At 46.1% G+C, this 15,078-nt stretch overlaps 1 pseudogene; it reads right to left on the bottom strand.

The window, feature by feature from the left end:
* On the bottom strand, positions 4,216-4,322 carry RNU6-1029P (RNA, U6 small nuclear 1029, pseudogene; annotated as a pseudogene).

Below are 15,078 nucleotides of genomic sequence, written 5' to 3'. Positions count from 1 at the left end.
GAAAAAAGAAAAAGAAAATGACTTTCAGGTGTATGGAACAGCAAGTGCAGAGGCCCCAGGCAGGAACAATCTTGGCATGCTTTAGGAAGAGCAAGGAGTTTGGAGCACAGTGAGAGGAGGAAAGTGGTAGGAAATAAGGTCAGCGAGGTAGGCAGAGCTTAGTGCCACGGAAGCCATAGTATGCTACCAATTTTTTATTGTATTCTAAGCGTGAAGGAAAGCCATTAGAGTTTGAGTGCAGAACAGTTACTTGATCTGATTTACATTTAAAGCAATATTCCAGCTGTTGTGCCTATGATTATTTTCTCCTCTTGCTTGGTTTATTGCAGTCACCCCTTACTAGATACATTGAAATCATCAGCTACAAGGTTTGTCAAACATTTTGCAGTACAACACATGATGTACTTGTAGATTGAGGTGGTTCTGTAGCTGCATGGACAATTCTGTATCAACTACTTTCAAATACACAATCCTTGTATGTCCGGAATTGGTGGGTTCTTGGTCTTGCTGACTTCAAGAATGAAGCCACGGACCCTCACTTGTGAGTGTTACAGTTTTTAAAGATGGTGTGTCCCAAGTTCACTCCTTCTGACTTTCAGACGTGTCTGGAGTTTCTTCCTTCTGGTGGGTTTGTGGTCTCACTGACTTCAGGAGTGAAGCTGCAGACCTTTGCAGCATTACAGCTCTTAAAGGCAGCGCATCTGGAGTTGTTTATCCCTCCCGGTGGGTTTGTGGTCTCCCAGGCTTCAGGAGTGAAGCTGCAGACCTTCGTGGTGACTCTTACAGGTCTTAAAGGTGGCACAGACTCAATGAGTGAGCAGCAGCAAGATTTATTGCAAAGAGCAAAAGAACAAACCTTCCACAACATGCAAGGTGAACCCAGAGAGTTGCTGCTGCTAGCTCAGGCAGCCTGCTTTTATTCCCTTAGCGGACCCCACCCACAGCCTGCTGATTGGTCCATTTTACAGAGAGCTGATTGGTCCGTTTTCACAGGGTTCTGAGTGGTGCGTTTACAAACCTTGAGCTAGACACAGAGTGCTAATTGGTGCATTTACAATCCTTTAGCTAGACACAAAGTGCTGATTGGTGCGTTTACAAACCTTTAGCTAGACAGAAAAGTTCTCCAAGTCCCCACCCATCCCGGAAGTCCAGCCGGCTTCACCTCTCACTGGTACTCCCGGGGTCTCTGCAGCACCTAGCCTAGGCACTCTGGCAGCCCAGAGGGAGCTCGTCCCTGGATCAAGCCCAGAAGGCGCCGGCCGCGCCGAGTGCGGGGCCGGCCGACCCCATGCCCACCCAGAACCCGTGCCAGCCCACGAGCACCACGCGCAGCCCTGGCTCCCACCTGTGCCTCTCCCTCCACACCTCCCGGCGAGCAGAGAGAGCCGGCTCCTGCCTCGGCCAGCCCCAGGGAGGGGCCCTTATAGCGCAGCGGCAGGCTGAAGGGCTCCTGGAGTGTGGCCAGAGCGGACGCTGAGGCGGCGCCAAGAGCAAGCGAGGGCTGCCAGCACGTTGTCACCTCTCACTTGCTCTTCTTTAAATCTTAAATATTTCCAGTATTCCAGTAAGGTCTTCTTTAAAGCACATTTTCAGGCCAGGGACAGTAGCTCATGCCTGAAATCGCAACACTTTGGAATGCTGAGGCAGGAGGGTCGCTTGAGGCCAGGAGTTTGAGACCAGCCTTGGCAACATGGCGAGACCCCATCTCTACAAAAAAAATGTTTTAAATTAGCTGGGCATGGTGGTACACGCCTGTAGTCCCAGCTACTGGGGAGGCTGAGCAAGAGGATCACTTGAGCCCAGAAGTTTGAGATTGCAATGAGCTGTGATCATTCCACTGCATTCCAGCCTGGGTGACAGAGTGAGACCTTGATTCAAACCAAAAAGAAAAGAACATGTTAAATGACACCAAGGGGACACTATCTGCCAACTCCAGAATGCAGGAAATTCTATAAGACAAGTCACCCAGTTTCTTCAGTGAGTAAATATCAAGTAAAAAAGGAAGGGAAGGGGGAGACAGTTGTAGATTTAAAAGATGTAAAAGGCTTTATTTTGATTTTCTTTTGCACAAACTAAATATTAAAAAAAGGTATATGAGACTAAGAAATTTGAAAGCTGGATACTAGATGATTTTAAGAAATTTTTGGCCGGGTGCAGTGGCTCATGCCTGTAATCCCAACACTTTGGGAGGCAGAGGCGAGTGGATCAAGAGGTCAGGAGTTTGAGACCAGCCTGACCAACATGGAGAAACCCTGTCTCTACTAAAAATACAAAAATTAGCCAGGTGTGGTGGCGCATGCCTGTAATCCCAGCTACTCGGGAGGCTGAGGCAGGAGAATCACTTGAACCCGGGAGGTGGAGGTTGCGGTGAGCTGAGATCGTGCCATTGCACTCCAATCTGGGTAACAAGAGCAAAACGCGGTCTCAAAAAAAAAAAAAAGCCTTGATTACATTGTTAGTAAGGACTGTGTTACGATTATAAACACATTTACTGGTTGATGTCAAATTCACTGTAATCATAGAACTAATCTTTTTACGTGGGTACTTTGCCCTACTGTCTATATGATGCCTTTTTTTTTTTTTGAGACCGAGTCTCACTCTTGTTGCCCAGGCTGGAGTGCAATGGCGCAATCTCGGCTCACCGCAACCTCCGCCTCCCTAGTTCAAGCAATTCTCCTGCCTCAGCCTCCCGAGTAGCTGGGATTACAGGCATGCACAACCATGACTGGCTAATTTTATATTTTTAGTAGAGACGGGGTTTCTCCATGTTGAGGCTGGTCTCAAACTCCTGACCTCAGGTGATCTGCCTGCCTCGGCCTCCCAAAGTGCTAAGATTACAGGCATGAGCCACCACGCCCGGCGATGACATCTTTTTTGAGCAACTAAATTTTAAATTGTATATACTTTATTTTGTGAATACTTCTTGAATGTGCTAAAAGTTAAGCTCTATGGTAGAGAGGCTGGGCACGGTGGCTCACACCTGTAATCCCACACTTTGGGAGGCCAAGGCAGGTGGATCATGAGGTCAAGAGTTCGAGACCAGCCTGGCCAACATGGTAAGACCCCATCTCTACTAAAAATACAAAAATTAGTTGGGGGTGGTGGCTCGTGTCTGTAATCCCAGCTACTCAGGAGGCTGAGGCAGGAGGAATGCTTGAACCCGGAAGGCAGAGGTTGCAGTGAGCCGGGATTGTGCACTCCAGCTTGGGTGACACAGCGAGACCCTGTCTCAAAAAAAAAAAATTATTAAGGCTGGGTGCAGTTGGCTCATGCCTGTAATCCCAGCACTTTGGGAGACCGAGATGTGAGGATCACTTGAATCCAGGAGTTGGAGTCTGCAGTGACCTAGGATAGCACCACTGCACTCTAGCCTGGGCGACAGAGTGAGATACTGTCCCTAAAAAAATAAATAAATAAAAGTTTTTCATTTTTTAGGCTGAGCATGGTGGCTCATACCTGTAATCCCAGCACTTTGGGAGGCTGAGGTGGGCGGATCATGAGGTCAGGAGATCGAGACCATCCTGGCTAACATAGTGAAACCCTCTCTCTACTAAAAATACAAAAAAAAAAAAAAATTACCGGGCATGGTGGCGGGCGCCTGTAGTCCCAGCTACTCGGGAGGCTGAGGCAGGAGAATGGCGTGAACCCGGGAGGCGGAGCTTGCAGTGAGCCGAGATGGCGCCACTGCACTCCAGCCTGGGCGAGAATGTGACACTCTTGTCTCAAAAAAAAAAAAAGTTTTAAATTTTTAAAAAATTGTAGGTGTATTTACCTTATTTAAATGAATCTTTATCTCAGATATTCATACAGAAGTATTTACAGATGAAATATGATGTCTGTGCTTTGCTTTAAAATAACCCAAAAGGGGTTGGGGGAATACAGTGGATGAAACAAAATTAAGCTTATATTGATAATCAGTGAACTGAATGATGGGTACATGGGGAGTTCTTCATAGTCATATCTAATTTTTGTGGATGTTTGAAATCTTCCATAATAAAACATTTTTTCTGTACCTTTTTATTTCTGCCTTTATGTGATTTTTCCAAATGAAATCCTCCTGATTGATTTCCACTTAGAATCATACTGTTTATTATAGATTTTGCTCACTCTTCGGAACCCTATAGACTGAACAGAACCAGAAAGTCTTCGAGTAGATAGAGATGGCAATGATTTCTAGTAGTAACAGCATTGTTTTCTTTTTTCTGTTATTTTTATAAAAATATGGAACACTTCACAGATTTGCATGTCATCCTTGCAGAGGGGCCATGCTAATCTCCTCTGTATTGTTCCAATTTTAGTATATGTGCTGCTGAGGCGAGCACAGTAACAGCACTTTTAGTCACTCCTCCAATCAAAACAAATACAGGATGAATTTTAACCACAGAACAAGATCTTTACCTAAACATCATATATATTTTTTTCCTGAAATAAAGTTAGTTTTAAAAGTTAACATAATCGTATTACTGGCACCTTTTCTGTCTACTTTTTTTTTTTTTTTTCGAGTTTTGCTCTTGTTGCCCAGGCTGGAGTGCAATGGCGCGATCTTGGCTGACCACAACCTCTACCTCCCAGATTCAAGTGATTCTCCTACCTCAGCCTCCCGAGTAGCTGGGATTACAGGCATGCGCCACCACGCCCAGCTAATTTTGTATTTTTAGTAGAGACGGGGTTTCTCTATGTTGGTCAGGCTGGTCCCAAACTCCCGACCTCAGGTGATCCGCCCCCCTCGGCCTCCCAAAGTGGTGGGATTACAGGCGTAAGCCACTGCGCCTTGGCTTCTCTACCATATTTAATGGGTGTGGTGGCTCACGCCTGTAATGCCAGCACTTTGGAAGACCTAGGAGGGAGAATCACTTTAGGCCAGGAGTTCAAGACCAGCCTGGGCAATCAGTGAGATTCCATTTCAAAAACAAAACAAAAATAGAGACTGTCTGTGGGAAGTGTTTGGTTTAAACACCACCTTCCTTGTTAAAGAGCAACTTCCTTGAACACCTCTTGCAACTGAGTTACAAGAGATTAGCCCTATTACATATGTTAGTTTCTGATAAACAGGGGAATAGCAAAGGACATTAACTAGGCATTTTGCCCTTACTGACTGGTGATGCTGCTTAGGGAGCATCAGGAAAACAGAAATTATACCAATTAAACAGAAAACATAGGGATATTGTTTAAAAGGGTTTGTGGAATTAAGTTGACCCCCCCCCCCAAAAAAGGAGAGGTTGGACATGGTGGCTCATGCCTGTAATCCTAGCACTTTGGGAGGCTGACTCAGGTGGATCACTTGAGCCCAGGAGTTCGAGACCAGCGTGGGCAACATTGTGAGACCTCATCTCTACAAATACAAAAATTAGCAAGGCATGGTAATGTGCACCTGTAGTCCCAGCTACTTGGGAGGCTGAGGTGGGAGAATCACTTGAACCCAGGAGGTATAGGTTGCAGTAAGTCAACATCACACCACTGCACTCCAGCCTGGGTCACAGAGTGAGACCCTGTGTCAAAACAACAAAAACAATACAAAAACAAGGCCAGGTGCAGTGGCTCACACCTGTAGTCCCAGCACTTGGGAGGCCGAGGTGGGTGGACCACGAGGTCAGGAGTTCAAGACCAGCCTGGCCAAGATGGTGAAACCCCGTCTCTACTAAAAATACAAAAATTAGCTGGGCCTGGTGGCGGGCGCCTGTAATCCCAGCTAGTCTGGAGGCTGAGGCAGGGAATTGCTCAAACCTGGGAGGCGGAGGTTGCAGTGAGCCAAGATTGCACCACTGTATTCCAGCCTGGGTGACAGAGCAAGACTCCCTGTCTCAAAAAAAATAAAAAACAAAAAATAAATAAATTTTTAAAACCCCACAATACAAAAACATAAAAGGGAATACTGAGATAAGAAAACAGTTAACTTCAAGAAGTAGGTATCACCTTGTGTCCCCAAGATCATTCCCGGGTACAATGATTTGCTAAAAGGACTCACAGGACTCAGCATATATTTATACTCACAGCTATGATTTATGACAGGAAAAGTATAGAAAGCAAAATTAGCAAGGATAAAGGTCCATGTTAGGAATCTGGAGGAAGCCATGAGCAATCTTTCAAGGGTCCTCTCCCAGTGAAGTCATGGAGTCACAGAGGAAATGCTTAATTAGTCCAGCAAGGAGTTGTGACAACACATGTGAAATATTGCCAACCACAGTAGCTCCTTAGAGACTCAAGGCTCAAGGTTTTTATGGGGGCCTGCTCACATAAGCATCCTCTCTGCCTGGTATGTACCCAAATTCCAGACTCCAAAATGGTGTTCAGCAGAAACCATATGGTTTATGCAAACAATACACTGTGCATAGGCACAGTGAGACACACTCATCAGTTCTGTGAATGACGGGAACCCTTCTGAAAACCCAGTTACCAAATGCCAGCCAAGGACAAACCTATAAGGAGGTCTTTCAAAGGACAGCAGTCAGGCCTAACACTTTTCTGCACATACCTCTAGGGGCAGGGGAACAAAAGGAAGAAGTTGGGAGTTATCATTAGAAACTTGGTGGCAGATTCTCACAATGCTAGAACCCAGATCTTTGAGGCGAGGACATTGCTTGGCTGATGCTAGTGTCTAGGAAGCATAGAAGAGACAAACCCTCTATCCCCAAGCACCACAAACCTGGTACTCAGATTTCTGCGGAGGAAGCACTGGCTGGTATTGGTGCATCTGGGAAGGTGTGATGAAGCCTTGTTTTATTTAAATCCTTCAGTACACATTTACTAAGACCTTAGGCAACTGAGCTTTAGGGATATTAAGTAACTTGCACAAACTAGAAAGCAGCAGAGCCAGCAAGAAAATCCACATCTTCTGAATCTGAGTCAGGATGCTTTTATAATTTATATGACTTCTTGAAAAATGTAGCAGCAACCTTGTAATACTATCATATTAGAATTATTTTTTAAAAACAATTCAATTCAAGCTGGGCGCGGTGGCTCAAGCCTGTAATCCCAGCACTTTGGGAGGCCGAGACAGGCGGATCACCAGGTCAGGAGATCAAGACCATCCTGGCTAACACGGTGAAACCCCATCTCTATTAAAAATACAAAAAATTAGCTGGGCATGGTGGCATGCGCCTGTAGTCCCAGCTACTTGAGAGGCTGAGGCAGGAGAATCACTTGAACCTGGGAGGCAGAGGTTGCAGTGAGCCAAGATCGTGCCACTGCACTCCAGCCTGGCGACAGAGCAAGACTCCATTTCGAGAAAAAAAAAAAATTCAATTCAGGTCAGGTGTGGTGGCTCACACCTGTAATCCCAGCACTTTGGGAGGCTGCGGCAGGCAGATCACCTGAGGTCAGGAGTTTGAGAACAGCCTAGCCAACATGGTGAAACCCCATCTCTACTAAAAATACAAAAATTACCCAGGCTTGGTGGTGGGCGCCTGTAATCTCAGCTACTCAGGAGGCTGAGGCAGGAGAATCGCTTGAACCTGGGAGGTGGAGGTTGCAGTGAGCTGAGATCGTGCCACTGCACTCCAGCCTGGTTGACACAGCCAGACTCCACCTCAAAGAAAATAAAAATAAAATAAAATAATTCAATTTAAGTAAGCCAAAACTAGAAATTTCAGCAGAAAATAAGATAATTATCTAGGCAGGGCCACAAAGGATGACAACATACTTAGCTTTCCAGATACAGAAATTCTTTTTTTTTTTTTTTTTTTTGAGACGTCACCCAGGCTCTGTCACCCAGGCTGGAGTGCAGTGGCGCGATCTTGGCTCACTGCAAGCTCCGCTTCCCGGGTTCACGCCATTCTCGTGCCTCAGCCTCCGGAGTAGCTGGGACTACAGGTGCCCACCACCACACCCGGCTATTTTTTTTTTTGTATTTTTTTAGTAGAGACGGGGTTTCACCGTGTTAGCCAGGATGGTCTCAATCTCCTGACCTCGTGATCTGCCCACCTCGGCCTCCCAAAGTGCTGGGATTCAGAAATTCTTATTTCAGGGAACTCAGAGTAGATCAAGGAAACAGATTCTTCCTGTTTATATAACCAGCCTCTGAGCCAATCCTAGAATTCCTCTTTTGCAGCTTCCTGCCACATACTATGGCACTTAGCCACAAAGAACTGCTTTGAGGTCCCCTACAGACACTATGGTGTCTGTTGCCTACATTGTCCTCTTTTTCTAGAGGGTCCTGTGTCCTATTCTTGCCCCCATCTCCTTCATCATTTTTACCTCATCTATAAGACTGATCTGGTGTTACCCTATCCAGGAAATCTCACTGCAGGAGTAGATTAGAGGTTACAAGGAGTTAAGTGAAAAGGGGAAAATGGGAAGTTATTGCTTAATGATCCCAGAGTTTCGGTTGGGGTGATAAAAAAAAAATTTGGATAGAGGTAGTGGTGATAGTCGTATTAACAGTTTGAATGTAATTAATGCCACTGAATTGTACACTTAAAATATTTAAAATGCATATTTTATATTATATATATTTTACCACACGAAAAGGGAGGTGTGGCAGCCAGCTATAGCCCATGGGTTGGAGATTGCTGTCGCATTATAGATTATGGCCCGGGTGTTCACTTACCTCTTTCTGCACTCACCTGAGAATTCCTGAGACCACATATGTTAATGATAATCTAATAGCCAGATATCCCCACTTGTTATTCTTGCCATCTAAATTAAAAGCCCCTCCAATAGTCATTCTCCTGTTTATCCTCATTACTATACAGCTCACTGCTTCCTTTCCACTAACTTTTTTCTCTCAAACCTTCCCTTTGTGCCTTCTGGAACCCCTAATCTGTGATTTATAAACTTCCCAAATCCTCAAAATACATCTTTTGTTATAAGCATTTTTTTCCCTCTGATTTCTCCTTTTATATTTCAGTTGGGGCATTAATTGATATTTTTCAAAATTACCTGTGTGATCAGATTCTATTCTCTATGAATTTTATTTCAGGAGAGTGGAGGGGGTCATGTGTCTTACAGGGTTCAGAACAATTTCCTTGGCTGACTCGTGGCACCCTGTGAAGCTGCCCTGTGCTTCCTCTCTCATACGAGGCTGCTTATTCTTTCTCAACCATAGGCACATTTTCACACTGGGGTGAGTAGCGGGGGTGACAGATCACACATGCTGTTGAATATTTGGATACGTTTCTTTCTTCTGACCATAGAACACTGGAGACCTGTCTGCCTTCTCCCAGAATTCAAACATAGCTGAGAAAAGAGGCTTTGAGATCGCACACTTCTCAAAGTTGGCCACCTGTAGAGAATTATCAGCACTTGGGCTCCACTTCAAACCTACTCAATCAATCTCTGGAGTTTGGGCCCACAACCTATAATTTTAAGAAGCTCTTCAGGGGATGCCCTTAGAGTTTGAGAATCACTGCGTTAGTGGGAGGGAAAGGAGGTTCACACACACACACACACACACACACACACACACACACACAGCATGCTGCACTCTTCCTCCAACCCCACTTTCACACTTAGAGGCTCCTGGAGAAGCATAGCCATTGATAAACTGCCATAAAGAAAACAGTACATTCAAAATTATTTTCAATTAATCACCATTCCAAGAAAGAAAGGGGTGTTTGGCCAGGCACAGTGGCCTATGTCTGTAATCCCAGTGGCTCAAGAGGTCAGGAAATCGAGACCATCCTGGCCAACATGGTGAAACCTCATCTCCACTAAAAATACAAAAATTAGCTGGGTGTGGTGGTGCTGGCTTATAGTCCCAGCTACTCAGGAGGCTGAGGCAGGAGAATTGCTTGAACCCGGGAGGCAGAGGTTGCAGTGAGCCAAGGTCGTGCTACTGCACTCTAGCCTGGGAGACAGAGTAAGACTCCATCTCAAAAAAATTAAAAAAGGGGGTGTTTGATAACCCTTGCTACCCAAGTACTTCAAGGCCAAGAGAACAGGACTAATGTCTCCTTCACTCTTCACTACTTCTCTTGGATCATAATATACCCACCTTACCAAAACTTTTTTTTTTTTTTTGAGACAGTCTCGCTCTGTCACCCAGGCTGGAGTACAGTGGTGCGACCTCGACTCACTGCAGCCTCCACCTCCCAGGTTCAAGCAACTCTCCTGCCTCAGCCTCCTGAGTTGCTGGGACTACAGCCGCATGCCATCACACGCCTGGCTAATTTTTGTATTTTTAGTACAGACGGGGTTTCACCATGTTGGCCATGATGGTCTCGATCTCCTGACCTTGTGAACCGCCCGCCTTGGCTTCCCAAAGTGCTGGGATTACAGGCATAAGCCACTGCGCCCAGCCAGAAAACCCAAACTTCTTTAAGGTTTAGATCCCTAGGGCACAGTGTCACCATCTACTCTATTTCTGTATCATTGTCCATCTCATGGAAGGCACTTTTGGACACCTGTAGAGGATGCTATGGTGGGCTGCCCGGATTCCTTCCCCTTCCCGTAATACTAGAGCTGTTGGGAGTTCTGTGGGTAACAGCTCTCCAATGCATCCCTCTCTGGGGATTGCTTGTGGCTAAAAGAGAGCTGCCTCTTCCCTCCTCCTGTGGAAGCCAAGATCCAAATTCTTGTTGATATGGGAGTATAAAGTTCCAACCCCTTTACCTCAATTCATGACAACTCTGAAGGGACATCTCATCACCAGAGTTCCTCCATCATTGGTTTAGGTCTTTGTTGTAACTGAGTGGCAGTTCAACTTCCTCCTTTGCCCAACCTGCTGCCTTTACTCTCCCACAGGTGTGGATCCTCACAGGAATCTTGCATGCAAACTTCTTTTTTTTTTTTTTTGAGACAGAGTCTTGCTCTGTCGCCCAGGCTGGAGTGTAGTGGCGCGATCTCAGTTCAATGCAAGCTCTGCCTCCGGGGTTCACGCCATTCTCCTGCCTCAGCCTCCTGAGTAGCTGGTACTACAGGCGCCCGCCACCACACCCAGCTAATTTTTTGTATTTTTAGCAAAGACAGGGTTTCACTGTGTTAGCCTGGATGGTCTCGATCTCCTGACCTCATAATCTGCCCTCCTTGTACTCCCAAAGTGCTGGGATTACAGGCGTGAGCCACCACGCCCAGCTTTTTTTTTCTTTTTTTCAGAGGGAGTTTCACCCTTGTCGTGCAGGCTGGAGTGCAATGGCATGATCTCGGCTCACTGCAACCTCCGCCTCCTGGGTTCAAGTGATTCTCCTGCCTCAGCCTCCCCAGTAGCTGGGATTACAGGTGCCCGCCGCCACATCCAGCTAATTTTTTTATTTTTAGTAGAAACGGGGTTTCGCCATGTAGGCCAGGCTGTTCTCAAAACTCCTGACCTCAAGTGATCTGCCTGCCTCGGCCTCCTAAAGTGCTTGGATTATAGGCGTGAGCCACTGCACCTGGCTGCAAACTTCTTTTTTTAAAAAACTTTTTTTTTGTTTGTTTTTAAGAGAGACAGGGGTCTCACTATGTTGCCCAGGCTGGTCTCAAACTCCTAGGCTCAAGCGATCCTCCTGCCTCGGCCTTCCAATGTGCTGGGATTACAGGCATGAGCCACCATGCTTGGCTAGATCCTTGCAAACTTCTTGCATGCAGATCTTCATCTCAGAGTTGGCTTCAAAGGCAACCCAACCTGTGACAACTGGGATCCAAGAGTTATCCAAGGAGATTCAAAAATGTGATTTTTAGATCTGGATTACCTGCTATCTAGCCAGCAACGAGGACTCTCTCACTGGTGGTAGGTGAAACATTAATAGCTTCTACAGAGATACTGGAGAAAGAAAACGAAAGGTTGAGAGTGATTAATCCCCAGTGTAGGTTAAATGTGAAAGCTGAAGGGCATCCTTGGCAGTATATAAAGAGTCTCATCTCTGGCTGTCAGAGAGTAGAAAAAGCTGAGGGTCAGGACAAGGACTTAACACACACACACACACACACACACACACACACATATATATATTTGATTCCTTTAAAAATAATTTGCTGGGCATAGTAGCTCACACTTGTAATCCCAGGACTTTGGGAGGCTGATGCAGGTGGATCGCTTGAGCCCAGGAGTTCAAGACCAACCTGGGCAACATAATGAGACACTGTCCCTAATTCAAATATTGTTTAAATTTTTTATTTTTAATTTAATTAATTAATTTATTTGTTTTGAGACTGAGTCTCGCTCGCCCAGGCTGGAGTGCAGTGGCATGCTCCCGGCTCACTGCAACCTCCGCCTCCCGGGTTCAAGCAATTCTTGTGCCTCAATCTCCCGAGTAGCTGGGATTACAGGTGCCTGCCACCATGCCTGGCTAATTTTTACATTTTTAGTAGAGACACAGTTTCACCATGTTGGCCAGGCTGGTCTTGAACTCCTGACCTCAAGTGATCCACCCACCTTGGCCTCCCAAAGTGCTGGGATTACAGGTGTGAGCCACCGCGCCTGACCTGATTTTTATTTTATTTTATTATTTTATTTTTTTGAGATGGAGTTTTGCTCTTGTTGCCCAGGCTGGAGTGCAATGGTACCATCTTGGCTCACTGCAACGTCTGCCTCTCAGGTTTAAGCAATTCTCCTGCCTCAGCCTCCCGAGTAGCTGGGATTACAGGCATGTGCCACCATACCCGGCTAATTTTGTATCTTTAGTAGAGATGGGGTTTCTCCATGTTGGTCAGGCTGGTCTCAAACTCCCGACCTCAGGTGATCCACCCGCCTCGGCCTCCCAAAGTGCTGGGATTACAGGCGTGAGCCACAGCTCCAGGACTGATTTTTATTTTAATTGAGACAAAGTCTCATTATGTTGCCCAGGTTGGTCTCCAACTCCTGGTCTCAAGCAATCCCTGCACCTCAGCCTCCCAAATTGTTGGGATTATAGATGTGAGCCACCACACTCCACCTAGGAATTAGTATTAAGAGTAGCATGGCCCTAGGCTGGGCGCAGTGGCTCATGCCTGTAATCCCAGCACTTCAGGAGGCCGAGGTGGTTGAATCACGAAGTCAGGAGTTCAAGACCAGCCTGGCCAATATGGTGAAACCCCGTCTCTACTAAAAATACAAAAATTAGCCGGGCGTGGTGGCATGTGCCTGTAGTCCCAGCTACTTGGGAGGCTGAGGCAGGAGAATCACTTGAACCCAGGAGGCAGAGGTTGCAGCGAGCCAAGGTCGTGCCACTGCACTCTAGCCTGGGGAACAGAGCAAGACTCCGTCTCAAAAAAAAAAAACAAAAAACACAACAGAAAAAAAAGAATCACTATTACTGCTTTTTCCGTTTGCCTCTGACTTCACTGATACAGCTCAGCTTGGTACTGTCACCAATGTGGCTGTCTTTTACAGACCTTAGGTGAAAGCAGCAGATGCAGTGACAGTGATGAGCTCCATGATAGCAATGGGATGATGAGGTCCCATCACTACTTGCCCTCCTTAAGTAGTGTCGGTTTGGACCCTATTTCCTACTTTAGTGATGCTTAACTGTCAGCAGCAAGGTGGGCACAATTGTCACAATTAGCATAAGGTCAGAATGGTTGACCTGCAGAAATATATGATTCATACAACTGGGTATCCTTAGAGGCAAGATTGATGGGCAGCCTACAAGGGTACTGCTCAATCTGTGCAACCAAGAGAAATAAAACATGAATCATTAGGAGGCTGAAGGCACTTGTCCCAATTTAAAAAAAAAAGTGATCTTCAGCTAGTTTCCAGACCTAAGGTAGTTTTCAGATCTAGAAATGAGTTCAGGTCATCTAATTGAAGCAGAAGCTAGGTCCCCAGGAAGGACTGTGTAACACCACAGTGTTTGTTTTGTTTTCCTTTTTTTTGTTAGTATTTGTTAATGATCCCTTAATACTTCTCCAAAGGGAACTATCATTTGCTCTGGTAACTATACACTGGGAAAAGTGGAATAACCAAATATTTTAAGACCTGTGGGACACAAGGTCCAAATCGACATTGTTATCCAAAGTGTCATAATATCCTATCAGAGTGGGTGTATGTAGGGGCCAGATCACACATGAAGTTCTGACCCAGGTTTGGCTCACGGTGGCAAGAACCCACCACATCTTATTTCCCAAGTTCTCGAAGTTGGTTAAGGGGCTCCTGCCTGTAATCCCAGCACTTTGAGAGGCCCAGATGGGAAGATCGCTTGAGGCTAGGTGTTCGAGATTAGCCTGGGCAATATAGCAAGACCCTGTCTCTACAAAAAATTTAAAAAGTAGGCAGGTGAGATGGCTCACGCCTGTAATCCCAGCACTTTGGGAGGTCGATGTGGGTGGGTCACTTGAGGCCAGGAGTTCAAGACCAGCTTGGCCAACATGGCAAAGCCCTGTCTCTACTGAAAATAAAAAATTAGCTGGGTGTAGTGGCACACATCTGTGGTCCCAGCTACTAGGGAGGCAGAGGTTACAGTGAGCTGAGATTACGCCACTGCACTCCAGCTTGGGTGAAAGAGTAAGACTCTGTCTCAAAAAAAAAAAATTAAAAAGTAGCTGGGCATGGTGGTGTGCACCTGTAATCCTAGCTACTCAGGAGGCTGAGTTGGGAGGATCGCCAGAGCCCAGGAGTTTGAGGCTGGAGTGAGCCACTGCACTACAGCTGGGGCAACAGAGCAAGACCCCATTTCTAAAAACAAAGCAAAACTAAACTGAACTAAAGTGGGCCTGTGGGATAAGAACTATCACATTGGGATTTATTAGGGAAACTGGCTCCTGCAATTTTGGAGACTAAGTCCCTTGACAGGCCATCTGCAAACTAGAGGCCCTGAGATGCTGGTAGCTCAGTCCAAGTCCCAAGGTTTAGAATCAGCGAAGACAATGATGTAACTCAGTCCAAGGACAAAGGCCTGAGAACCAGGAGGAAGGGGTGGGGATAGGGTGCTGCTGGTGTAAATCCAGGATTCCAAAGGCTGAGCAGCTTGGGGTCGTTGTCCAAAAACAACAATAGAGGAAGATTGGATGTAGCCAGCCTTCGCACATAAATTGACATTTTCACCTTTTCTCTGCTTCTGTTCTTCCTGGGGTCCCCAGCAGACTGGATGGTACCTGGCCACACGGAGGGCCGATCTTCCCCACCTAGCCCACTTGTACTCACACGCTAATCTCTGGAAACACCCATACAGACACACCACAAAATAGCTTTACCAGGTTTCTAGGTATTCCTTAATCCAGTCAAGTTGACACTTAAAATTAACCATC

Source organism: Homo sapiens, chromosome 2 (assembly GCF_000001405.40).
Source record: "Homo sapiens chromosome 2, GRCh38.p14 Primary Assembly".
NCBI lineage: Eukaryota > Metazoa > Chordata > Mammalia > Primates > Hominidae > Homo > Homo sapiens.
This window is presented reverse-complemented; position numbering and strand designations above follow the sequence as displayed.